Below are 27,470 nucleotides of genomic sequence, written 5' to 3'. Positions count from 1 at the left end.
CTGCATTGACAAAACAAGTATGAGAAAAAAGGGATATAATATAGGATGGTGTGTGTTTATTTCTATGTGGCAGACTCCTATGATTCCTACATTATTATATGAAAAACTTACAATATGAAAACATTTAAAAATGCAGTGCAGTAGTGTTAAATAGACTGTTTAAAGGGTCTGGAAGATGACAAAGAAAATTATAATTAATCAGGTACTAATGACAGAAAAGAGAATTATTTAATTTTATTAAAAATCTCCAATTTATAACCAAAATATACAACCACTACATTTAAAATCAGTTTGTACACTCACAGTTAAAGTGCTAAGAAAAAACATTTACAAAAACTGACATCAGTCTACTGTAAACAAAATAAATCTACAAGAGCAGAGTGCAAAGCACATCAGAGAATGTGAAATTCCCAGTTCATGCTCTAACCAAGTGCACTTGCCCTGTACATCCCAACAACAGCAACTTTTCCACTCATTTGGAAGTGAACAATTTTAATAAACATATAAAAAAGAAACATGAAGAACTAATGCCACAAAATACAAGTCTTTAGCATAAACACTTTCTAATTAGATGTTTATATGATAAATCAACATTAGACATTTAGAATCACCTCAGCAATTTGATTCAGAATAAAGTTTGGAAAACTAAACTGCTAAGTGCCAGCTATTTAAAAATGACATATTTTTTAGAATAATGAAAAGGAATACTTTTTCTACCTTTATAGCTCTTGAAAAATTGTAACAGTAAAATGGGGAAAGACTTTTTTTTTTTTTAACAAGCATGGATAGTATTCATATGTAAAGGTAGTATCAATGAGAAAGAGCTGGAAGACAGACCTAGCTGTCTGTCAGGTAGAATGAGGGTGAAGGAGATCTAGGATGCTTCAGGCATTGCGCTTGAACTTAAAAAACAGGATCAGCAGGCCCTGACTTCATAAGGCCCATAAATACAAATGACTAGCTCCCTTTCTCAAGGTCATTGAAAATATACAGTAGTTTCAGACATCACATGGGTTTGGGCAAAGGGGGCAGATTTCCAAGCTAGGTCACTTAATGGTATCTCTTGCCTCAAAATAGTCCCATCAACACTAATTTAAATTATTTCCACTTTTGTTTTAAAGCTTAAGATTCTACTCACTGACATTAATTTGAGCTAACAGCAATGTGTTTGCTTTTAATGCAGATTTCTCTTTAAGAGAGATAAAAGGGCTATAGTCACTAACACTTTAATATAAATTAGTTAAAGCAAATTTCTAACACTTGAGATAGGTTATATTTTGGAAGTATTGATAAGAATGACTAGGGGATAGAAGGCAGGTAAGGAAGTTTTGGAGAATGCAGCATTTGAGGAATAGGTCACATGAAGAGGGTATCATGAGCATATTGCCTAGGAAGAAGTGTACCAAGCAATTATTGAGAGATCAAAGTAACCTTTCTCCACTATAAAAATTTATCCAAAACCAAGACACCTGGAGTACCTCTATGGGGTGTACTAGATTAGCTTTTGTTGGCTAATCTTTTACCCTTATTATTCATAATATTATTTATATGATGAGATGTAGTCTGAATTTGGAACAACTCTTTTTACAACCTATTAAATCACAAAATTGGGGATTTCCTGTGTAGGAGTTTCATATTTTTTATATGATCTTCAACTCATATACTTTTATAATGAAATAAAGGTAAAAAGAAAATCCTTAAATGGCATTTTATGGCAAATTTGTTTACTACACCACATAGCAGTATTCATTAATTTAGAATGCCTACCAAGAGGATAACATTCCAGTTGCCAAAATTTGAGTCCACATTAGATGTGAGGGGGAAATTATTTTGCCTCTAAATGATACTTACAGATGAACCCTTTTATATTAGGTTTGCACAAACCTAATACATAACAATATCTCAGATTATAAAAGCTTTACGCACAGATTTAGTGAAAGTCTTATGTAACATATATACTTCCAAAAGGTATTTGCTTCAATTATGAAGTCATTTTGATAAAACACTTTTAAAAACTGGGAAATTTAACAACAAAATAAAGGATAACTTTTTTTAAGGAGAATTTTCTTGATAAGATTTGTGGTTATCTGTAGAGTCTCCTTCATAAAGCCTCTGATATATTGATAGGGTTAGGATGAGAAGTTAACATACCTATTCTAAAAGATCTTTTAAAGTTTGGTTCCTTCTTGAATATATCTATTATGAAATTGCTAGCATCTGATCATTTTTGACCAATAAAACCAGCAATTTCAGATAGTTCAGAATAATGCTGTATTATCCAACTACGACCATGTAGCAAAAACCTCCTTGTCCTGACTCTAAGAGAGAACAGCTGATCTACAGGAGGAGCGATCCACATGCCGAGATGACCGCGATAATCTAACAACACTGTAAAAAGTTAAGAAAACAAGATAAAACAAAAAAGCCTCAAAAAACACCTCACATTAAATAAATATGAATCTTGGGTATCACAAATTACAGAGAGTGAAATAACTCATAATTACTATTAATTATGATACATTTACATAAATAATCCCCAAATTCACTATCAGATTAAAATACAAAAAAGTATTTTTTTGGTAAAGTATTTTAATTTTGACGAAACAGCTTCCATTGTTCTATTAAATAACAAGATAAGATAATTTAATCGTTTTTGAGTTGTCAAACTTTTCTTTCTGGGGCTAGAGGAAAGGATGGTGGGTGGTATCAATATCAATCTTTACTATGCCAAAGTAAATGTCTAAACCAGCCATTCCTTCATATATGTGATACTTTTACACTTCAATGAGAAAATAAAACACAAAAATACAATTTGACATTTGAAAATAAAAGCAGAAAAGTTGTTGGAAGTTGGGGTTAAAGACATGAAATGGGGTGATTCTAGGGAAGTTAAATATTATAAAAAGATGAATGATACGAAATTTGGATTTAGTCTAACTCACAGCTAAGGTAGAAATAGCACCTGATGGCAAGAGAATGTCCAGACTAATATTTTCACATTGGGGAGTCCCATATATGATTTTAAAAATTTTAAGTTCATATAAAAAGAAAATAGAGTATTTTTAAGTATACATTCACCTCAGCTCAATGTAAAGAACTACTGTGTTGATCTTGTCTCAGAAATACAGAATTATTTCACATTAAATGTTTCTGCTGACAAGATGAGTTCAGGGAAAAATTATCTGAGGCAGGGATAAAGGAAGACATTTGTTAATTTCCTTTTAAAAATGGAGAATGGGAGGAGTAGAGAAATAGGAAAATGGTGGATGGCTAAACATAAAGTAAATCACTCTAGGATTACTTGCTTTATCTTACAGAATATCCCATTATCAAAACCCAGAAAATATTAAATGAAATATTTGAATCTCAGATTCAATTTAACAAATGTGATCACAAAGACTTGCAGAGGCAGAGAACTAAAAACAAACCTTTTCTTTTTTTTTTTTTTTTGGTAGGCAATCGAAATAACATAATAATACAGGCATCTCTGAATGAGAAAGGCTGGGCATCTAATATAATTTCTGAAAGCCAGGACAGTTACATGATCCAGTGAAATGACATAAGACAAGGAATAAATGTAGCTAAAGAATCACACCAGAAACCAGTATACCTTCCTATATCAACTTTCCACTATTCTCTACTCATCAGATCCTAACCCAACACCCAGATTTGAACCAGTGTTCAAAAGACTGATATGAGCTAATGTAGACAATCAGAGCAAACACAATGATTTTCAAAGGTAACAGGAACTTCCTTGGCCTAGTGCACAGAGAACATTTAATCTACCAGAGAACTCTGCGGAGATATGGAACTAATGCAATCTCTACTTTTTTTTTTTTCTTTTTTTTTTTTTGAGATAGAGTCTCGCTCCGTTGCCCAGGCTGGAGTGCAGCGGTGCGATCTCAGCTCACTGCAAGCTCCGCCTCCCGGGTTCACGCCATTCTCCTGCCTCAGCCTCCCGAGTGGCTGGGACTACAGGTGCCCGCCACCATGCCCAACTAATTTTTTTGTTTTTAGTAGAGACAGGGTCTCACCATGTTAGCCAGGACGGTCTTGATCTCCTGACCTCGTGATCCGCCCGCCTCGGCCTCCCAAAGTGTTGGGATTACAGGCGTGAGCCACTGCGCCTGGCTAATTTTTGTATTTTTAGTACAGAAGGGGATTTGCCATGTTCATCAGGCTGGTCTCGAACTCCTGACCTCAGGTGATCTGCCCACCTTGGCCTCCCAAAGTGCTGGGATTACAGGCGTGAGCCACTGCGTCTGGCCTCAATCTCTACATTATATCAGATGACAATTAAGGAATTTTTCCAGAAACATTTTCTGTATAGCCAGAAAAAAATTAAAAATAACAAGCCACATTGATCTCTAATAATATTTCAAATGAAGACATTCACTTGCCCATGGCAATCTGGCAACTATATTTATGTAATAAACCTAAGAATGCAGTTTAAGAATAATTACTGAACAAAAAATTTTCAATCAACTCCTCTGAAATTTCTTTTACATTTTATAATTATTTTAATATTGGTAAATTGAATTGCTTTTAAATTAGCCATACGAACCATTGCTTTGTTCACTAATTTGATCTTGAATACATTTTGTGTAAATTTTAGGCTAACTAGCTATATTCATATTTAAGAGAACAAAGACCACAAAACGTTATGTCATTCTTTTCTATGTATCAATTTAAGGTGCTTATATTGGTGCTTAAGAAGACTTTCCCATTTAAAAAAGCCATGTCCAATATTTATAACTTTCTTTCATTTTTATTATCTGTAATATAATTTTCCTTCTTTAAAATTACTTAAAATCACTAATGGAAAAACAGTTGATAAAATATCTGAATCCCATCAATTTACATGTAAATGACGTTAATAATACAGGTTGATCTAGTAAAATAATACAAGTTGATCTAGTTCATGGGATGAATAAGAAGAATAAAAATGAGACCAAAATAATGATTATAAAATGGTCAAATGAGAACCAAATGAGAGCTGGGCGGAATTTTAGACGCTACCTAAACTAATTCTCTTGTTCCCTAGAGAATGAGAAAAATGGAGGCACCACGAGATAAAATGCCTTATCCAAAGTTACACAGCTAACTGCAAAAGAGAGGCAAGAGTAGAAGTCAAGTTTCCTGACTCAAAATCCTATTGTATTTTTAAAAATAAAATAATACAGTTTTACTAATCATTAAAAAAATCCTGCCAATTTAGAAAATAGATTTTTTTGTTTAATTTTAGACTCCAGGATAGAAAATAGAAATTATTAAGCTCTAAGTTAAAAAAAAAAACCAATAAGCACAACACAAAGAAATATCTGCAATTTAGCATATACAAACAAGCTGACTTATACAACAAAAAACCTTAAAGCTACAATAATAATAAAGTAATCCATCCTACTCCAGGAATATGATAAAATATCAACCTTAAAAAAACTTTAAAAACTAACTTTACTAGTTAATGGTAATTAGCAAAATAATGAAACAGTGAATCTTCAAAATCTGAATTATTTCAAGGTAAAAAACATTTTTAATCTTTATCGGGAAAAACTGGTGACAGTGACCAATAAAATGAGCATAAAGTATAAGCAACGCTTTCACACCAACAAAAAAATTCAAGAAAGAATTTCCTGAGGCAGATGATGATTTAAAAAGTAATCTGAAGGAAATTATCCTTCAATGCCTTTCAACAGATTGAACTACTGTGTCTTATAGGAAGTAAGTAATGCAGTGGTTTGGTGTTTGACTAAAATATAAGTGAAAACTTTCTTTTATATTTATGGCAACAGAATTTTACTTTCTAATTAGAGATCACAGAATAAGAAACATGTTTAACTCATATTAAATCTTTATATATTAAATCTTTATAAATCAACCAAATAGAAATGTCTACAAGGATGGCTGGTTCTGGGTAGACTTCAACATTTTCATTCTTAGAAGACTTGGATCCTGAGAGAAAATTGTAATCCTATATCAATTTGATGACTAAAGAAGCACAGGATTAAGATTAAATTAGTAAAAAACCCAGGAGACTGATTACAATCAGACGGAAGGCATGCGATACCTAGTCTTCCTACTCCTTTCCCAAATTCATCTAATCGGAACAAAAGAAGGAGAGAAGAGAATTAAATTATGAAGAGATGCCAATACAATTATTTTCATATAAAATAGGTCAAAATTATATAAGAATAATGTGTAAGATTATACAGCTACTAGGAAATACAGCTGAATTAAATGTAAACATTTTTTCTTAATCAGCTGTAAAACGACACAAAAGCATTGAAAAGAATCACAAGTTCCTTTGTAAATCTAGGTTCCATAAAAATGCTATCCTTTGTGAGTGAAGAATGGAGAAAAAATCCTTACTTTACATACTTTAAAAAAATTATAAATGTGTACAAACAATTCTCATAGTGTGATGACTTAAAATTTAAAGTTTTGCCACAATGAAAACCAACAAGTGAATCACTTTTTCAAAACTTTTTCTCAATCAGAAAAAATGAGGTACATAAAAGCCAAAAAGTCAAAGACAAAAAACATTATAGGGTCTACATTCTTCTTCATATATATTTTTTTTTATAATTTAAGTCAAGCTAATGTACTTATACAATTTCATATAAAAGGAAAAATAAAATGAATATCCCCAAATTTGTTCTACAAATTCAACTACATAAAATTTGAGGCATACTCTGGTATAACACATATTAAAGAACCAATACAATTTAAGAGCATAACCTACTTTTTAAAGGTTAATTGGATGACCGATTTAAAGACTGTACCAAATGAACACTGGTCTAATTGCCTATTTTGTTGTTATTGCTAAAAAGAAATACTAATGAAGACTGTAACCTTGTTTTCTATAGCCCCCCCAAATTCTAACAAAACCAAATGGTATCAGTAGAACAATTTATGGATCAGGCATGGTGGCTCATGCTTGTAATCCCAGTGCTTTAGGAGGCCAGGAGTTCAAGACCAGCCTGGTCAACATAGTGAGACTCATCTCTACAAAAAATTAAAAAAATTAAAATTAAGCCAGGTGCAGTGACTCATGCCTGTAATCCTAGCACTTTGGGAGGCTGAGGTGGGCAGATCACTTGAGGTCAGGAGTTTGAGACCAACATGGCAAAACTCCATCTCCACTAAAAATACAAAAACTAGCTGGATGTGGTGGCACGCACCTGTAGTCCCAGTTACTCGGGAGGCTGAGACAGAAGAATCACTTGAACCTGGGAGGTGGAGGTTGCAGTGAGCTGAGATTGTGCCACTGCACTCCAGCCTGGGCAACAAAGCCAGACTCCGTCTCAAAAAAAGAAAAAAAAATTAAAATTAGCCAGGTGTAGTGGTGCATGCCTACAGTCTTAGCTACTTGGGAGGCTGAAGCTGGAGGACTGCTTGAGCCTAGGAGTTCAAGGTTATAATGAACTATGATTATGCCACTGCTCTCCAGCCTGTGTGACAGAGCAAGACCCTGTCTCTATAAAAAATTTTTTTAAGTAGAATAATTTATGGGTTACAGAGCATTATAATAAATACTATTTCATTTGATCCTTACAATATCCAGTGAGGGAGGCTAAAACCAAAAATTACCTTATCCACATTTTACATTGAAGAAACAAAGACTCAGAGAAATAAAATGACCAGCCCAGTTGACATCATGAGTCTTAAAATTCCAATCCCAGGGGAATTTTCATTACACCAGACTATGTAAGTCATCCAAATATGGTAATATGTAAATGTACCTTTGGCATGTCAAAAAGCAATATAAATATCATCATAATGAAATTTTGGTATGTTAATATTTTCTAAGCTCCAGCAAATGATTCACTAATTTATATAAAAAAAATTAAGTGGTTCCTTTCATTTCACAGAGATATAGCCTAACTAAGATGGGTACAGTTTGAGTTATTTTCAGCTATTATCACAAAGAAACTGATGAGGTAGGTTAAAATGTAGTAAATTTTTCTAATTTGAAGACATTCTTAGGATTTTTATAAATCTGCTCTAAGAGCAGCAGAAAAAGAAAGGTTGATTTGAAGATTCATTTACTCAGCTGGTCCACAAAGATCTAACAGCATAAGACTAAAAGGAGTCTAATTACTCACTTCTAAGAATCACTGTTCATCTTCTAAAATTAATTAAAAGGATTGGTACATGTCTGTACATATATTTCTTTAATTATAATAGTGATATGGACTGTTATCTATGCAAAATATGTTTCATTTGGTGTACTTTACATATTTATTACCTGCCACATATTATTCTGGTAAAGCAGAGACTTCATTTCACATAGGTTATAGATCTTTCAAATTTCTTTGATGTGAGACTCAGTACTAGGGTAAAAGCAAGTTGTGTGACATGAATTGTTCATTTAAATATTTATTGAAAAACTGTGTATGAATCCCTGTGCCAGCTGAGTTATTAACCAATTGTTCTTTGAAACAAACTGTTTTGAGTTTAATATTATCTTAGATCTTTTGTCTAGTTATTGAATAAAAAAAGTTGCTGAAATCAAAGTACTTTTTGAAAACCTTTTGATAATATATTAACATGTTAGAGAGAACTATTATTTTCTCAGTTGTCAACTGAAAAAAGAAAACACTAAACATTATCATATGCCAATCAAAGTTAAACATATGGTAGGAAAACTGTCCAGACTTATTCAGATTGGTTTAAGCTAGTTAGACTTAAAACTGCTGCCCAAACTGAATACTGTTGTTTAAAACCATGGATTAATATTACATAAATTTTGTGGGACAAAATTAAGATACTTACTGAAAGTAACTGAAAAGTCAATATAGTATTCCCATACATACCCACAATTTAATAGAGAAAATACAAATGATTATCTAAAAATCTAGAAGCACAAAGTTAAGATTTTCATAGTGATGTTCACTTAACTGTCTATACTTGGCCCACTTGTAAAAGAAAACCAATTAACATTTTGGCAGTTGATAATATAATGCAGATGGCAATGGATGACAACATCTTCGAGCCCAAACTGGTACCTTCTATTTTAACTTATTTTTGTTTGTGAATGTTTGTTTTAGTTCTCTCATGCTGTTTGCAGGAGAGATTCTCAGACAAAAGCTTCATGAATTATTGATAAATAAGTTGTTATATGTTTGGCTTTCAGAGAAAATGTTTACTAATTGTCGGTTATGAGGGAATTCAGACCTGCCTGCTTTGAGCATTAACTCCAGCTCCAAGGAGAAAGGCAATGAACACAGAGAAAAATGAAAAACATTTTGGGCCAAATATTCAAATATCTCTCATGAAGAATAAGTCATATTATCATACATGTACTTTGAAATATATAACATAATAGACAAATTATTACTATCAGAAAACTGACTTTGCTGCCTGATGAGAATATTCTTTTTCAACACCTAATTTCTTGGCAGTTTGTTTTAAAGGGTAAGAAAGAAAGTATACATGAATTCAACACACGTCAAGGAATGTACTATAGCAGTCCTCACACCTCTTAAATCCACAATAACCTAATCCCTTATCATTCATAATGCTTTACAGTTTTCAAAGAGCTTTCACATAATTTTTTTCACTTGATCTTAATCTGACAGCTTTGTGAGGTAGGTAGAGTACGTATTTATCTTCTATCTTCATTTACAAACAAGGGAACTGAGGCTCGGAGAGTTAAATTGTTAAAGGTCATAAACTATAATAGCATAAGGCAGAGCCAGGCCTCTTCAGAGTCTAGAATAATTCTTCAAAGTATGATTCTTGGATTACCTCCGTAAGAATCACCTGCGGTATTTTTATAACTACAGATTTTAAAGTCCTATCACTTTGGCCTTACTGAGTAAGTCTCTCTAGGAGTACAGCCCAGAATTTGGCATCAGGTGCAGAACAACTGAATATTAGATAATGATATAAAAGCGAAAGACAGAATCCATGTGGATGTTCATGTGATATATGATGCCGACAGATCATCAGGGGCAAGTTAAAGTAGTGAGTTTCAAGCCAGGCTGCAGATTAGAATCACCTGGAGCGCTTTTTTTTTTTTTTTTTTTTTTTAAGAAAGCTACCAATTCTTATTTGTATGAGAGGAAGGTGTTAGGCATCTGAAGTAACCCAAGTGATTCTTATCTGCAGTCAGGGTTGAGGACCCTTGTTTAAATATGCTTTTTACATAATACATCAAGCATGTTCCAGCATTTTTCTTTCTCTTCTGATTGATTTCATGCCTAATAAGTTTTACAGTTTATATTGTAAATTATTTAAACATTATCAGATAAACATTTTTACTTGATTTTTTAAAGATTAAATGATATTCATACTAAGACTAATCATGCTTCATTTAGCTACAACAATTTTCAAATACTCAAATCAATCACCACTTTGGACTGAGGTTATATATATTTCAGTTGTAAACAAGAATGATCCAGAATCTGAAAATAAGGGTGTGGGGCAAAAGCTGTAGCCTACTGGCTATTGGGCAAGGCAAGTGCAGACAATCAACTCACTACAGGAGGGCCTGGAAGCCAAGGTCTGGTGGCTTTGGCAAGATCACATCTCACTGTAGAAAAATACAACAATGAATACAGAGAAAATGTTTTGCCATTTTGTAATTGTGGTTACCTTATAATGTATGATGTTTATCTTATTACATGCCTCCACAAAGCAAATTTTGAACATTAAGTTCTCTATGAATCAATACTATTACATGGGAAAAGATGGCTACAAATTAAAATTTTTCCATCATGCATATGGATAAGTTATAAAAACACAGCCAGAAAAAGTAATATTTACAAAAGTTATAAAAACAGCACAATTATAGGGGAAACAATGCCCATCTCTTTATTCCACTGCTAATCCAAACCCTGAATATCTCTGCATGAAGATTATTTCGATAGAATTTTAAGAGAACCTTTCATAGACTAATCAAATTCTTCTGTTGCACTTTTATTCTATTAGCTAAAATACCCTTGCTGATTTATTAAATTCTCCTACAGTTTAAAAACACAGTTCTTTTTTCACTTAGTGGAAATAAAACTACAAAGTCCTACTGTTCATCTGAGAAGTAAACCTTGCATAGAAAATTTCTTTAATTCTGAAATTGTTTTATTAACTGAGCTACCAGAATGTTATCTCACAACTAGTTTATAGTATATGAAAGTTCACTACAAAGCAGTCACCACACATTTAGGATTTTTCTAAATATAAAATGAGTGGGTTTATAAAAATGCTTACCAGACAAATAATTATCTCTTCATAACCTAGAAAGACGAATTATTTTTGTGATGATAGAATTCTTAGTGTTTTGGATGCCTTGATGTTCCAAGTTTGATGCAATATAAAAAAGCAATCATTTACCTTTCCAGTGGACACAATCTGTACTTGACTGAAAGCATGTTAACTGTGAGTTACAGCTATCAGTCATGCAAAAGGCAAAGAATAAAATCTGCTTTTTAAACAGCACAAGATTTCCACCTTAGACAAGACAAATTAAGCACTGGTTCCATCTTCTTCAATAACCCGATTCATGCTGGTGCCATGTGTGATATGAGTCATGGGATTATTACTGAGATCTCTGATGCTGCTATGTCGTGACTGTTCATTGAGCCGATGAGAACTACTATGCCTGGAGTGATCTGTTAGTCGTGACATGCTGCCATGAGGTAGTCTCTCCTCCATTCCTCTGTAACTGCAGGGCGTGTACCTGTCATGAGAGTTTATTTTGAAGTGGGTAACAGAACACACTAGAAAATATAATAACACTAATAATTTTCATAAAAATGCCTCAGTAAGGGAAATTATTAGGAAACCAACCATGAGAAAGTAATAACCAACTTTTGATTGCTTAACTTCGTTAACACTGTAGAATTATTGACATGGCCAACAAAAGAGAAGAGATAATCCAATCAGAATTAAGGTTCCATTCTCTGCAAAAGGACAGAAGCTAAGATTAAATAAGGCTGACCGATTTGAAGCTGCACTCGATATGGATACCTTTCTCATTCAAAGGAGTTTTGAATGGGTGGGTTCAGGGAGAGGGGTAACAACAAATAGAAGAAATGTGGCATTGCCCCTGGCAGCCAAGAAGAGTGGTTATAATCAGTAGAGGGGTACATTCAAATTTTATTAAGACTCTGACTGGAAGAGGGAGAATATGAAATCAGAGGAGAAATTGGAGTAACCTAAAAAAAAAAATGAATAAACTGGCAAGCAATGATGACAGTATGTGCCGAAAGCTGCTTTCCAGATAGCCCAGTTAACAACTGAATTAACTACCTGTAAATTATCTTAATTACTTCTCATCAGGGCTTGAGGCTGTGAAGATGCTCCTTCATGGAAGCTACATCTGCTTGGAAGTTACATCCTAACACTCTGTAACCTATATTCTGGCTAAAGCAAATTCTTTGTACCTTCAGCTCTAGACCCAGCTTGGAGTATGTGAGCTGGGCTCCTCTGCTAACTGCAGGCTATCTCCTCTGCACTTATCTTGAAAAGCAGCAGTGGGGCTGTTAAATTTTCTTTTGTTGCAGTCCTGACTCACTGAGCTTTGCCATGAGGAATGAGATTAGCTCTAGGCCAGTCAAGGTCAGGAAAATCAATTATGACTTTTATATTAGGCCTTTGCTTATGGAGCTAGCATGCTACTTATCAACGATTCTGGCTTTATAGCGTGCTCTTTCAAGGTAAGGACCATATTTTATCTTTTAATCCCTAGTGCCTCAAGAAGTATTTCTCTAAAATACTTTTTGTTTATACTTAACACCTATATATATGCCATTCTGTAAAAGTATTTGATTTAGGATAATAAACCTCAAAGAAAACTTAGTATAATTTATAACTTTAATTAAGTTTTAAGTAATGTTTCTAAAAATAAAATATAGCAGGCTAGGTTTTTTTTTTTTAAACAGTCATCAAAAAAACTAATCATAAGCAGCTGCAGATCTGTTGGCTGTCAGAAAGCGTTAATCCACCATTCCTTCACAAAAATAATTGTAACAAATTTCATGACTCAGTGTGAATTATTTATAAAATTTAAAGATAGATTCATACACCACAGAGGTGATCTTCTAGTCACATTTTCATTAGATCAGAGTTTAAAACTTGAGAAGTCCTTTGAAAAAAATTTTTTTTTAAACACGTCTTTTGGCCGGGCGCAGTGGCTCATGCCTGTAATCCCAGCACTTTGGGAGGCTGAGATGGGCAGATCACTTGAGGTCAGGAGTTCAAGACCAGCCTGGCGAATGTGGTAAAACCCTGTCTCTACTAAAAATACAAAAATTAGCTGGGCATGGTTGCGGGCACCTGTAATCCCAGCTACTCGGGAGGCTAAGGCAGGAGAATTGCTTGAATGTCGGAGGCGGAGGTTGCAGTGAGCCGAGATCGTGCCATTGCACTCCAGCCTGGGTGACAAGAGCGAAACTCTGTCTCAAAAAACAAAAACATGTATTTTGTTTCAGGAAAGCAAAAAAGAAAAGTTAAATGTGAAAAGATAAATATTTAAATATTTTAAACATTTCTCATGTTAATGGGTAAAAAGTTATTTAATTCTTATTTATTAAAAGATACTTCATATTTAGGACCTTAAACAGTTTTAAATTTGTTCTGCATGTTTTGGTAAATAATGACAATGTTTGCAGATGAAAACATTTCAGAATGGGCTTGTTATTCTAGACTAATAATTATTATTTTGCATAATGATTATTGCCTTAAAACTGAGTAGAAGATTATTCCAAGTTTCCAAATATGACTTGGCTGCTGATTTGGAGATCTTTCACCTCTCAATGGCTTCCCAAGTATCTGTCTCAAATAAATATGGCAAATGAAAAGAGCAAAATATGATGCGGTTTTCTAGTAATGATATAAAGTTATCTTTTAAAAATCACTATATAAAAATATAAGCTGAGTATTTTCTAAAATGAAATATAAAGCTTTGAGTTACAAAAACTCAAATAATATATTTTTCATAGAAAAATTTACTATATTGAATAATTTAATCTAAATTCCTTAAGTGACACATATGGCCATCCACAAAACATTTTAGAATATGAACAACCTGCCCATGGATAATTAAGAGTCAACTACATAGAAAAATAAATTTAAATATACTGTTTAATCTCAACTGTATATGTAGGAATTACCAAGTTTATTTTCTGACAGTCATTTAAACCACTGTGACCACTGACTGTAATACACAGTGTGAAAATGTAAATTAATTTTAATATAAGCTTAGGCAAAACAATTAGGATGGTTAATTTGCTGCCGTTGTCAAAAAATACTACAGTGCCTTCCAAAGTCAACATAAAAAAACCTTGAAGATGATTTACTCTTTTTGAGTGTCCATACTATTTGCTATCACTAATCTAAATAACTGAATTAACTGTAGTTTTACTAATACCTCCTTATTTACTCCCTAGCTTTTTCTTGTCATGGCACCCACTTACCAACCTAATCATTCATTCCCAAACCTCCACCTACCTACTTATCCACTTCCTTTTTCACTCACCCTCTCATCTAACCACCAATTACTTATTCTTTGAAGCTGACATATATGTGTAGGTGTATTCACCTCAGCCTATTTTGTTTTATATAGCACAGAGATCAATAATTATCCAGCAAAGAATCTGGGCCAGAGTGAGTATTGGGAAGTGGGTATGTGTGTGATCCCACAGCCAAGATACCATGAGATGATTAGAAAATGACCACAACATAGTGTTGACACACAAAGTTAAAAACTGACTGAAGCAGAAGGAAATCTCCATGAGATGGCTTTTCAAATTATGAAAATCCTTGTTCAGACTTCTGGTTCACCACAGTCTTGGAATCTCTCAAATCTGCCCTAAAGTTCTGGGTACAGCCAAGAGTCCTACAGTATTAGTATTCATGTGCCACATTACAGAACACCTTCAGTAGGGTGCCACTGTCATTCTGGCTCTTGCATTTCTGGGAAACATCCACATTATTTCTAAAGTCATTATTTATTTGATAGATTTGTTAATCCCCTACTATATATATATATGCCTAGTACTGTGCTAGATACTGTGGAGGAATACGGTGTCACCTAGTTCTTATTCTCTAGAAGCTGCAAACTTAGCTGAGGAAAGACAATTATGTGGAAAATAGATAGTAACAAAAAGAATGATAAGCAATTTCTCTGACTCATATGCCCACTGTTCTTCTTCCTGTATTATTATTACTGTGAATATTTCCCAAGGTCTTGTTTTTGGCCTGTTGTTCTTTTCTTAATAGTGACTCAAGGGATTCTAGCTCACAATTTTAATTGCCAACTACCTTATATTGATGATTGTAAACTTTCTTATCTAAGCTACAGCTCTATTCAGATGAGAGTGGCTGAAGTCTATTTTTAACTGCCCTCAGAAATCCTCTACTTAATATAAACTCATCTTTTACTGTTCATTCACCCTACGTATCTCCTTTAAGATACTTTCACGAACCAATCTGACCTTTCTCTTTCCTGCAGTTCTACATCTGTTATCTTTAACACTCACTGTCTTAATTATATTCCTGGCTTGTGCTATTAACTGGTTCATATGTGTATGTCTTATCTTTCCTATAAGGTTATATGCTCCTAGAATGCATAAATTACATCTTACTTCCATATACATCTTATCTTTCCTATAAGGTTATATGCTCCTAGAATGCATAAATTACATCTTACTTTTCTTCCATATACATCTTTATACACAGTATGCCACGTGCATAGGTATTATACTATAAATAATTATTCATTCATCATTGAAAGGATAAGGCCAGGCCGGGCACAGTGGCTCATGCCCGCAGTCCCAGCTCTTTGGGAGGCTGAGATGGGCAGATCACTTGACGCCAGGAGTTCGAGACCAGCTTGGCCAACATGTCAAAACCCTGTCTCTAATAAAAATACAAAAAATTAGCTGAGCGTGGTGGCACATGCCTGTAATCCTAGCTACTCAGGGGGCTGAGGCATGAGAATCGCTGGAACCTGGGAGGCGGAGGTTGCAGTGAGCTGAGATAGTACCACTGCACTCCAGCCTGGGCAACAAAGTGAGTCTCTGCCTCAAAAAAAAAAAATAAATAAATAAAAGAAAGAAATAAAGAAAGGATAAGGCCAATAACGTCAAATAAAGCTGGGTTCATGGAGGGTGATGACTGATAAATATATTCTAAAAGAACTCTGATTCCCTCCCTCCTTATCAGTATTTTCAGCTGGGACCCCTAAATTACTGTAGAAACTTCCTAACTAGTCTTACTCATAATCTCCTTCATTCCGATGCTATTGCCAAGTGATTTTTCTAAAATACAAATCTGATTTTCTCACCCCAATGCCTGAAGTCCTATGATAGTTTCTCACTGCTGCCCAGGAAAAATGCAAACTCCTCAGTATGAATTCCTCTCCTTCAGTTGCCAAAACATGCAGTCTATGCTCTAGCCATACCCACGTACCTAACTGCTTGCCTGTCTTCCTTGCCTCTGCATGTGCTGTTACCTTAACTCCCAACTGCCTCCTCTGAATCCTATTCAATGTAGAAGTGCCATCTCTTTTGCGAAGCTTTCACTTTCTATGATTTATTAAATGGTTTTCTTCTCTGAGATCCCAATGCACCCTGTACATATTTTTACTATACCTATTGAAGTGTATTGTAATTGATTGTTTACTCTTCTGTCTTCCATCTCTGCATCCCTAGCACTTAGAAGAATGCTTCTCATATAGGAGTGCTAAGTGGAACAAAAGAAGGAAGGAAGGAGAAAGATCCTTGTGGTTAAAATGAAGTCACTGGTGATGTTAGAGGGTACAGTTCAGGCAGGTAGAGAGGAGAAAAAGACTACACTTTCAAGGCATAAAGGATGGATTAGGGAGAAGAAAAATATTCAAAATAGTCATTTCAAAAATCTAGCCAGGAAAGAAAAAGGAAATGGATAAAGGATAAATCAGCACAAAGAAAGACTGCTGCTCTTTTAAACACAGGGTAGCTGAACAACAGAAGGTAAAAGAAAACAAGTTGAGAGGAAACAGACAGAAGATTAAAAAAGAAAAGTACAGAGAATCGGATTCTACACTAGGAGGACAGGGAGAAGACTGAGACTGACAGGATAGAAACAGCTGTGGAAACAGATGTTTTCAAGTGAACACAGAATCCTGTCAGTTTCAGGTATTATAATTTTCATTCTTTCAGTTTCCCAAAAGAAATCTTAAAAAAAAACACCCCAAAAAATATTTAGCACATTCCTTTTCTCCAGCTGCTAATATTAATTTCTTACCAATCTCTATCATTTCTTCTTCTTTTTTTTTTTTTTTTTGAGACAGAGTTTTGCTCTTGTTGCCCAGGCTGGAGTGCAGTGGCACGATGTCAGCTCACTCCAACCTCCACCTCCTGGCTTCAAGTGATTCTCCTGCCTCAGCCTCCTGAGTAGCTGGGATTACAGGTGCCTGCCACAACACCCGGCTATATAATTTCTTCTTTCTAAATATCTTTCAGGTCAGCTCTTCCTCTCTTCCCACTGCCACCATTCTCCTAGAAGCCTTTATCATCTCTCAAAAGAATTACTGAAAAGCTCAAAGGCAGTTTCTAATTCTAGTGTCTCATTTCTCAAATTTAACAAGAAACCCACAGCCAGGCTTCTCTCAAACATTTTCTCTGTGAAACCAACCCCCTCCCTAGCCACCAGAATTAATCACTCCCTCCTCTGTGCTACTACTGTACCTAGTAAACAGGGGTTGGCAAACTAAGGCCTGCTGGCCAAATCCTATTTTTGCAAATAAAGTTTTATGGGAATGCAGTTATTTCTATTTGACTACATATTGTCTATGACTGCTTTCATGCTACAACAGCAGACTCAAATAGTTGCAGTGAAGACCATATGGCTCATAAGGCCTAAAATATTTACTATCTGGCTCTTCACGGAAAACGTTTGCTAATTCCTGAACTATACTGTCATACTTATGTGTTAGTTCAATTGTCAATTACAATAATAACAGAAGCTGATATGAGGTACTCACTGAGATAGGCACTGTTCCAAGGAATTAGGTATGCTATCTCATTTAATTTGTACAAGATTATTAAAGAGGCAGATATTAATACTATTTTCATTTTATAAATGAGGAAGCTGAGGTTTATCATTCTAGATCCATGTTCTAAACCACAAACTGACTACACTATCTTTCTAAATAGACTGTGAGCTTACCAAGAGCAAAGATCATGCCTAAGTCATCTTTGTATTCTCAGGGCCTAGCAAGAGTGCTAGATGTAGTAGGTGTTCCATAATTGTTTACTAAATTAATCTTACTAAAATAACCACTTTTACCCTGTCTTTTCCCTGCTCAATCCCCTGCAATAACTCCCATATTGCTTACTCCATCAAATCTAAACAATTCTGACTGACTTTAAGTCTGACCATAGTCTGGGACAACTCTATCTAGCAAAGTTCAAAGGCTTAATTATGTTCGACTTCTATTTCAGAATTGGCTGCTCCTCTTTCTTAAGCTGTATGGTCATAATTCAGCTTATGAAATAAACTACACTACTAACAAAACTCACCTGCCATCACGTGATCTGTGGAGGCTGCCGTGGTAGCTGCTCACTTTGCTGTGGATGCTTCCTGCTTTGCTTCTTTGATCATCCACCATAGCCAGCTGAGTTGAAGAAGCATGGGTGGATGTTCCTTGAGTGGAAGTTCCCCTTGACTTTCTTATGATAGGAGTATTTGGATCCCTCAGGAGAGACTGAGCAAAATCAGGTTCCTGGAGTACCTGTCGGCTCTCATTCACTATCCTAGACAACAAAATAGTAAGTTTAAGATACATACCAATCTTCCTTCAGACCAATAAGCAATACTTCTCTGAAACACTGATATTATTCTTGAAATTAATTGCTTGCCAAATTAGATCTATAGGACTGACATGAAGAAACATTGTTGACAGAGGAAAGAATAGAACAACAATCTATGTCAATCTGTCCCCTAAGGTGGTATGATGGAAAAAGGCCTGTGTTAGAATAAGGAAATCAGGATTTTAGTTCCAACTTTATCAATAAAAATGTGATCTTAAGCATGTCATTATCTCCTCTTTCTTTCCTTCATTTCTTCATCTGTAAAATGAAAGTATACAATTTCATCATTTCTAAAAGGTCCCTTTCAGCCAAAGAAATCTATCATTCTCAAGACACTGAAATATTATGAAGATATAACTAAAATAGAAAAATTGTTTTCTTGCATGGTTTATAAAACTAGTAGAGGCTTCACTGTAGCATGGATACAATATTTTTTTAAGTTGTAAGAGCAGTTGTTTTAGTCTACGAGTTAATTTTATGCAGAAGCAGTTGTCTAGTGCTGGAATAAACATGAGCAGTCATAATTAGAACAAAACAAAATGAAAAATTAAAGTTACAATTAAGTCTCAGACATATTAGAAGCTTAAAGGGAAACATTTAGGGGAAAAATTATGGTTAAGAACAAAAAATTTTAACTGCTATCAAAGGACTAAGTAGACAGATGGTTTACGATGATGAACAAGGCAGTAATTAAATTAATACAAGAGCTAATTAAACAGTTGTAAAGGTTAGTGTCTTGGATTATGTAAATAAAGGACTTACTATGAAAACTCATAAAGTTAAAATTAGATAATCAATTTCATTTCAAAAATAAAACTCCAGCATGTTAAGATTGGATCATATATTGAGAAATTACATATATTATAAATTCTCATATTACAAAAGGATTGTCATTATTGCTGTTGTTTTTCTTGTTGGGGTAGATGGGCTGAAGGAAGTCTAGTATTTATTGAGTACTTTATATATATTCTCCTTTGAATCCTCTTAATAATGTCATCATTACAGAGATTCATGTCCTAAGAGTGTATTTCTAAGGGAATATTGGATATCTATTAATAATAGATATTGTAATCCCCATTTCATAGACAAAGAAACTAAAGTTTTAAGAAATTAAAGAACTTTCAAAAAATCACACAACGAAACCAACAGTCAAGGATCAAACTTAAATTTAAAGTCTTAGAGGCTAATCACAAGGTAATGATAAAACAGTGTTTACATATATCTGGAAAACAAAGTGCCAAAAACATGACAGAAAAAAGAACAAGCCAAAAATAGTAAAAAAAATAAAAATCTGGATTCGTTCCTCTGTAATCAACGGCCTTATTCATATATATGTACATCCCACCAAGTCATTCTTGGTTGTTGACTTTATTTTCTAAACTTGGTTAAAACTGACTTCTAGTTGTTACAAAAATTTAACTCACCTCCAAATGGTGAAGGTTTGTCCCCTCATTTTACAGATAATGTCCAGAGAAATTAAGTGAAATGACCCAGGTAATCCAAAAGAGGATTTCTAAAAATATTTAAATCTATGTCAGAATTATTAGCATAAGTATGGTCTTAAATCTGGCTTCACTTAAGGGGAGAACATTAATTTGATTAGCACAATGTTAGAAACCAGTCTACAGCACAGTGTAACAAAGTAGTTAAGAGCAAAGCTCTGGAGTCAGACTGGGCTTGCATCTATATGTTAGCAATCACTTGTTATGAAATCTTGGTTCTATGCCTCAGTTTCCTTATCTGTAAAATGATGTCCTCCATCACATGGCTGTTTACAGCGTTAAATGATTTAATGTGTAAAGTGCTTAGAACAGTGCTTTGAGTATTAAATGTGCCCAATAAATTAGTACCCATTATTATTATCTTATAGTCGTTTCCCAAAGGCTAACCAGACAAATGCTAGAAATAGCCAAAGGGTGCCCACGCTCTTGAATGCCAGAATAAGGGGCTGCCACTCCAGCCCAGAGCACATTCTGGCTTGGAAGATCACAATGACTGTTGGTTGGGAATCCACAGCTGCAGAAAACCAAATGGAAGGGCCCCTGAGAGTTTTAACCAGTTTCAAAAGGATTTCGGCCCAACCAGTATCCCCGCAAACTAACTAGGATAAATCTCTATAAGGAAAACTTCAGTTTTAGCTCTATCTGGAATTTCTAATGCCACTCTATCACAGAATTATTTATATATGGCCCAGAGGTATCCAGGAATGTTTAATTCAAGTCCTTTCCTCAGCATTGTGTTTTACTGTGATTACAATACAGTTTTCCAAAGAATACACAAATAAATCACAGTAAATCCCATAAGGGAGGACACTCTAAGAAAGCAGGGTCTTGGCCTGTTCTGTTTGCTATCAAATCATTGGTATCCAAAAGTAGTTGGTGGCACATAGTAAGCATTCAACAAGTCTTTCAAAGAATGAATAAATGCCTAGAAGACGAATTTTTTTTGGTTGCTATTGAGTGAACTCATCCCCTTCTTTCCTTCTCTGCTCTACAAAATTATATTTAAAGGAGAAATGCATTATCTGATATCACTAGTAGCAGTCTCAGATATCACAATAAGAAATGTATACAATCATCCCTCAATTTCCTCAGGAGAGTGGTTTCAGGACCCCCTGTGGGTGCCAAAATTCGAGGATGCTCAAGTCCCTTATATAAAATGGTGTAGTATTTGCATACAACCTCTTGTATACTTTAAATCATCTCTAGGTTACTTACAGTACCTAATACATCACTTTATTTGCATAGATTCAGTGTAGTGCTCAGCATGCAGCAAATTCAAGTTTTGCTTTTTGGAATTTTCTTAAATTTTTTTTTTCCCAAATATTTTTGATCCATTGTTGGCTGAATCCACTGATATGGAACCGCCAGATACAAAAGGCTGACTGTATATTAAACTGTGATGTTAATATAATTTGTATAACAGAAATTGTTAATTACTGGTATTTTAGTAAATATAAACTTTATTAGTGAGGCTGAAACTAAAGTAACTTCAAATTGTATAAGAAAATGACATTAACCAATACAAGGCGCATTCTACATATAATTTTAAAATATTTACAGACTACCCACAAAAAAATCATTCTTCCATGGATCCTAGATTAAGTAAAATCATAAGAAATATAGAATCCACTAACTTAGAGTTTGTGATAATTCAGACAGAGATACCTATGAGACTTAAAACTGAGTAGAGTTTGAAATCATTTGTTCCACTGTGAAAACTGAAGGGTCTTGTTTTGTTTTTGTTTTACAAACTAAGGTACAAAAATTTAAAGATTCCTTAAATATGCCCTTATATCACACTGTAATATGCAGTATGGCCAACTATGAATTACAATAACCTCTAACACATTTCAATTAATCTACTAATATCATTTTTCTATTTGGCTTTAACGTACTATATTAGAATGGAATAAGAGTATTTCTTTATATCACTTTTGGTACACTTGGAAGAACAATGGACAACTGGAGACAGAAGTTTATCTAGCTCTTATCAGTAAATACCTGTGTGACTTTGGCCAAGCACTTAACCTCTATCTTGGTTTTCTCATTTGTAAAAGAGAGATGAGAATATATGTCAACCTTCAAAGGAATATCAGGAAGATCAGATAAGAATGTAGAGAAAAGCATTAATTTGCTTTTAAGAAAATTACAATTTGAATTTTTTTCACAAAGATTGGACTTCCTTCAAGTATTCTGAATTAGTACAGGAGGCCTGGTCATCTTCTGGACTACTTGGCCATCTTCTCAAAATAAGTTTTTAGTTTTAAATTAAGACATGCTACTGTGCCAATCATAACTGGATACTGCTGAAAATGTTAGTCTTGTTTGAATAATTCTCCAAATCCAAGTCATTTTAACATAAGCAACACAAAAAAATTTACGTAAATGTGAGGTTTGTGAACACTGTGATCATTTATTTCAACTTACTCTTTTTTCCTACGACCATGAAAAAAACTGGCCCATTCAAAGCATGTCTTTTTGCTTCCAACCCAAAATACAGAGGGAATGCCAACTATGAGAGCCATCAGGTATTTCATCAGAAAGAGAATCAAGTCTGGACGACTCATTTGAGTAACCTGGAAGAACAGAAAGAAAAGCATCTTAAATATATAAAAATAACTTTCTATTAAAGGCCATTATGAAATCTTTTTCTTTTTCTTTTGAGACAGAGTTTTGTTCTTGTCACCCAGGCTGGAGTGCAATGGTGTGATCTTGGCTCACTGCAACCTCTGCCTCCCAGGTTCAAGCAATTCTCCTGCCTCACAGCCTCCCAAGTAGCTAGGATTACAGGTATATGCCAATATGCCCAGGTAATTTTTGTATTTTTAGTAGAGACGGGGTTTCACCATGTTGGCCAGGCTGCAGGTGATCCACCTGCCTCAGCCTCCCAAAGTGCTGGGATTACAGGCGTGAGCCACTGCGCCTGGCCCAAAATCTTTTAAATAAAATAGAGTAAAATAATTCTACAAATTTGATGTTTTCATTTATAAGGTTTTATAAGTAATTTTCTTATGTGGAAAAAATATACTCCTGAAAATTTGGCAATAAATTTATACTCTATACATTGAGCCATATCTATCTATCTATCTATCTAGATAGATGATAGATATTTGGCTGACATTAGTCATCTTCTAAAATAGGGAAGAATGGACAGCATTTGTACAATGGCGGGAGAGAGGCAGTGGTGATGTAGATGAACTTCTTAAAAGAGTAATGTGAAAATAAGATGCCATAGAAGGAAAACAGTGATAGTTTTGATTACTAAAAATTTAAAACTTCTATAGAACAAAAAGCCTTAAATCAAATTAATAGAATAATGACTAATTAGAAATATCAACTGTATTATCAATCAATAAAGCAAACCTAAGGAAAAGAAAATGAAGAATAGGCCAGGCGTGGTGGTTCATGCATGTAATCCCAGCACTTTGGGAAGCCGAGGCAGGCAGATCATCTGAGGTCAGGGGTTCAAGACCAGCCTGGCCAAGATGGCAAAACCCCATCTCTACCAAAAATACAAAAATTAGCTGGGCATGGTGGCAGGCACCTGTAGTCCCAGGTACTCAGGAGGCTGAGATAGGAGAATCGCTTGAACCAGGGAGGTGGAGGTTGTAGTGAGTCAAGATTGTGCTACTGCACTCCAGCTTGGGCAACAGAATGAGACTCAATGTCTCCAAAAAAAAAAAAAAAAAAAAAAAAAGATAAAAGAAGAAATAAAGTATTTGTAAGACAAAAAAAAAAAAACAGCAGAACTAATAACCCAAAGTTGGTTATTGAAAAAGGATAGGCCAGACTCCAGTCTAATCAAAACAACAAAGGGAAGAAAACAGCAAACACACAGACACAGAATGCAAATAGAGAAAAATTAAAGAATCTTAAAAAGATTACTTTACTCAATTCCATGCAAATAGACTTGAAAACCAATGGAAACAAATGATAGGAAAATGTAATTTAACATAATTGACTCCAGAGGAAATAAAAAAATTTAAACAGATATATTATAGAAGAAATAAAGTTGTCAAACAGCCACCTCCTCAGAAAGCACTAGACCCAAAAGTTTCATAGGAAAATTCTAATAAACCATTAAAGAACACATAATTTCAAATTGTCTGAAAACACAGACAAAGAAAACGATTAAAATTATTTATATAAAGCAAGCATAAAATTGTACTTAACAAAGCCTCCATAAAGAAACTTATTTATTTATGTCTCATTTAGGAATCTGTATGCAAACAGAATTCAACAGCAAATTAAAAGAATAGGCCAGGACCAAACAGGGGAATGCAAAGATGGTTCAATATTAGTAAATTTATTTATAAATTCAACATATTATTAGATCAAAGGGAAAACATATGATCATCTTCATAAATGCCACAAAGGCATTTGATAGAAGTATTCATTCTTGATTTTTAAAAGCTGTAATAAAATACAGATAGATGATGAAGTACTTAAAGACACTATGTATCTATATCTCAATCCAAAAGCAAACATCATGCTTAATGGAAACACCAAAAGCCACTAGAAATATTTTCATTAAAATATGGAATACAAGAAAAGTATCTACTGCCACCACTCTTAGTTTAACCATTTCAACAGCTCTAGACTGCAATTAGATAAAAGAAATAAAGCTTATAAAAACTAGAAAGGAGGAGGCAATGTGATCATTATTTATAAATAATATAATTTTATACCTGGAAAAACTAAGAGAATAAAGTAAAAACTATTATAAATTATAAGCTGGGTGGCTAGGTATGAAATTAAATACACAAATAACTTTCATGTATATAAATATCAATTAGTAGATATAAGAAAGAAAATTCTTCATTTACCATTGTTATGGGCTAAACTGTCTCCTCTATCCAAATTCATATGTTGAAGCCCTAACTCCCAGTACCTCAGAATGTGACTGTATTTGGAGGTGGGGCCTTCAAAGAGGTAATTAAGGTTATGTGGGTAGATCCCAACCCAATCTGGCTGGTATCCTTATAAGAGGAGGAAATTTGGACATAAAGACACCAGGCATGTGTACACACACAGAAAGGCCATGTGAGAACACAGCAAGCAGGCTTCCATCTACAAGCCAAGGAGAGAGACTTGAGAGGAAACCAAACCTGCCAGCACCTTCATCCTGGACTTCCAGCTTCTAGAGCTGTGAGAAAATTAGTTTCTGTTGTTTAAGCTACCCAGTCTGTGGTCTCTCATTATGGTAGCCCTAGCATACTAATACAAACTATAACAAAAGAGACAAAACACCTAAGAATAAATTTAATAAGAGAAATGATCTGTTTGAAGATGTTTTAAAACACACCCCACTTCAAACATGTTCTTAGTTAGAAATAATTTATCATAAGAATGCAGATTCTCCTTGATTTAGTTATTAAATTTGACACAATCCCCAAATTCCAAAAAAAATACCAAGAGTTATATGAGAATTAGACAAGTTGATTTTAAAGTTTACATGGAAAAACAATCAAGAACAAACAGGAAAGTCCTGAAAGAGAAGAGAAATACATCATTAAGCTATAATAATTAAAACTGTGTAATTATAGAACACAGTGTTTAATATAAGCAGTATTTAAGTAAGTAACATTTCAAATCATTCAGAAAAAATACGTTTATTCAATAAATGGATTCTGGACAGGCTTCTAGAAAAAAATAGAGCTGAAGCCATACCGTATTTCATACCTAGATGAATTTCTAAAAGATCAAAAATTCAGGCCAGGCGCAGTGGCTCAGGCCTGTAGTCCCAGCACTTAGGGAGGCTGAGGCAGGTGGTTCGCTTGAGCCCAGGAGGCAGAGGCTGCATCGCGCCACTGCACTCCAGCCTGAGCAACACAGCAAGACCTCATCTCAAAGTAAATAAATAATTAAATAAAAACAAAAAAACAAAAATTCAAATGTAAGAAAAAAATTAACAACAAAAAAGAAACCATAAAGTTGTAGATGAAAGCTTTATTTCAAGGAGAGAGATGGAGAGTGACTTTCTAACCATGACATAAAACTTAGAAGCCATCAAAAAGAGACAAGTGAGCTGGGCACGGTGGCTCACACCTGTAATCCCAGCGCTTTCGGAGGCTGAGGCAGGCAGATCACCTGATGTCAGGAGTTCGAGACCAGCCTGACCAATATGGTGAAACCCCGTCTCTACTAAAAATACAAAAATTAGCCAGGTGTGATGGTGGGCGCCTGTAGTCCCAGCTACTTGGGAGGCTGAGACTGAAGAATTGCTTGAACCTGGGAGGCACAGGTTGCAGTGAGCTGAGATCATGCCACTGCACTCCAGCCTGGGTGACAGAGCTAGGCTCCGTCTCAAAAAAAAAAAAAAGAGACAACTGTGCTACATAAAATCCCACATTTCTGCATGGCCATAACTTTCATAACAACAGCCAAAAGACAATAAAAAAGCTGATATAAAATTGTTGCAAATTATATGGCAGATAAAAGGGCTAATTTCGTTAATGAATAATAAACTCCTACAACTAAAAAAGCCCATGACCCGAAGAAAAATAGGCGAAATATATCAACAATTTACAGAAAACAAAAGACACACCTAGAGCTCAGACTCATAGTTAAATTATATGCTGGTACTATTTTTTAACCTATCAAATAGGTAAGATCCAAAAGTCTGACAGTATATTGCATTAGCAAATGTGTGGACGAATACTCTCATATATTGGTGATGGAGAGGTAAATTCATAAACCTCTATAAAAGACAATTTGGCTATGTCTATCAAAGTTATACCCTTTGATTAAGCAACTATTTTAAAAATGTATGCTACAGATATATTTATATGTGAAATGATGTATGTTCAAGTATTGTACACATATCATATACCAATTGTAAAATATTAGAAGCAATATGATTTATCCACTCAATGGAATACCATGAGGGCATGAAAAGATACTGAGGAAGACTTTTCTCTTTTGGTATTGATCTCCAAAATATATCATTAAATGACAAGAGCAAGGTAGGGAAGTGTGTATGGGAGCTACCAAGTGAGTAAAAAAAGAGGGAGCAAAGGAATATACTTGTTTGTACACGCGTGAACATAACTGAAAGAGGATATATGAATTCCTTATAAAATTCCAAGTTACCCTTGAGAGGGGCACTGGGAAGCTGGGAAACACAGGCAGTGATAGAAGGGAGACTTTTCCCATATACTTTCGTAGCTTT

The 27,470-nt window shown here is 34.5% G+C and overlaps 1 protein-coding gene across 27 annotated transcripts in view, besides 2 other annotated features; it reads right to left on the bottom strand.

Moving 5' to 3' along the window:
* Positions 220–27,470, bottom strand: part of FZD3 (frizzled class receptor 3) — an 80,047-nt gene continuing 52,796 nt past the window's right edge. For 20 of the 27 annotated variants that reach the window (NR_182067.1, NR_182066.1, NM_001412925.1 and 17 more), the window contains 3 exons: positions 22,727–22,875; positions 18,507–18,740; positions 220–11,680 (listed from right to left, as the gene is read on the bottom strand). Coding sequence is in view for 19 of the 27 variants with exons in the window: in NM_001412925.1 (NP_001399854.1) it covers positions 11,467–11,680; positions 18,507–18,740; positions 22,727–22,875 (597 nt within the window). In the remaining 8 variants the exon portion in view is untranslated. Of the gene's footprint in view, positions 11,681–18,506; positions 18,741–20,221; positions 20,311–22,687; positions 22,876–27,470 lie in introns of those variants that run through there. The other 7 variants (NR_182069.1, NR_182071.1, NR_182068.1 and 4 more) reach the window with 4 other exon arrangements.
* Positions 12,217–12,743: an enhancer, noted in NCBI's record as "NANOG hESC enhancer chr8:28419252-28419778 (GRCh37/hg19 assembly coordinates)". NCBI's record gives its function as "activates a minimal SCP1, AML or CMV promoter by ChIP-STARR-seq in naive and primed H9 embryonic stem cells {active_cell/tissue: H9 hESC(naive and primed)}" and the evidence as "EXISTENCE:reporter gene assay evidence [ECO:0000049][PMID:30033119]".
* Positions 15,918–16,100: a silencer, noted in NCBI's record as "fragment chr8:28415895-28416077 (GRCh37/hg19 assembly coordinates)". NCBI's record gives its function as "represses an EF-1alpha promoter that drives an FKBP-Casp9 reporter gene in an ReSE screen in HepG2 liver carcinoma cells and K562 erythroleukemia cells {active_cell/tissue: HepG2 | K562}" and the evidence as "EXISTENCE:reporter gene assay evidence [ECO:0000049][PMID:32094911]".

Source organism: Homo sapiens, chromosome 8 (assembly GCF_000001405.40).
Source record: "Homo sapiens chromosome 8, GRCh38.p14 Primary Assembly".
NCBI classification, from domain to species: Eukaryota; Metazoa; Chordata; class Mammalia; order Primates; family Hominidae; genus Homo; species Homo sapiens.
Note: the sequence above shows the minus strand (reverse complement) of the source record. Positions and strands in the feature narration are given on the sequence as shown.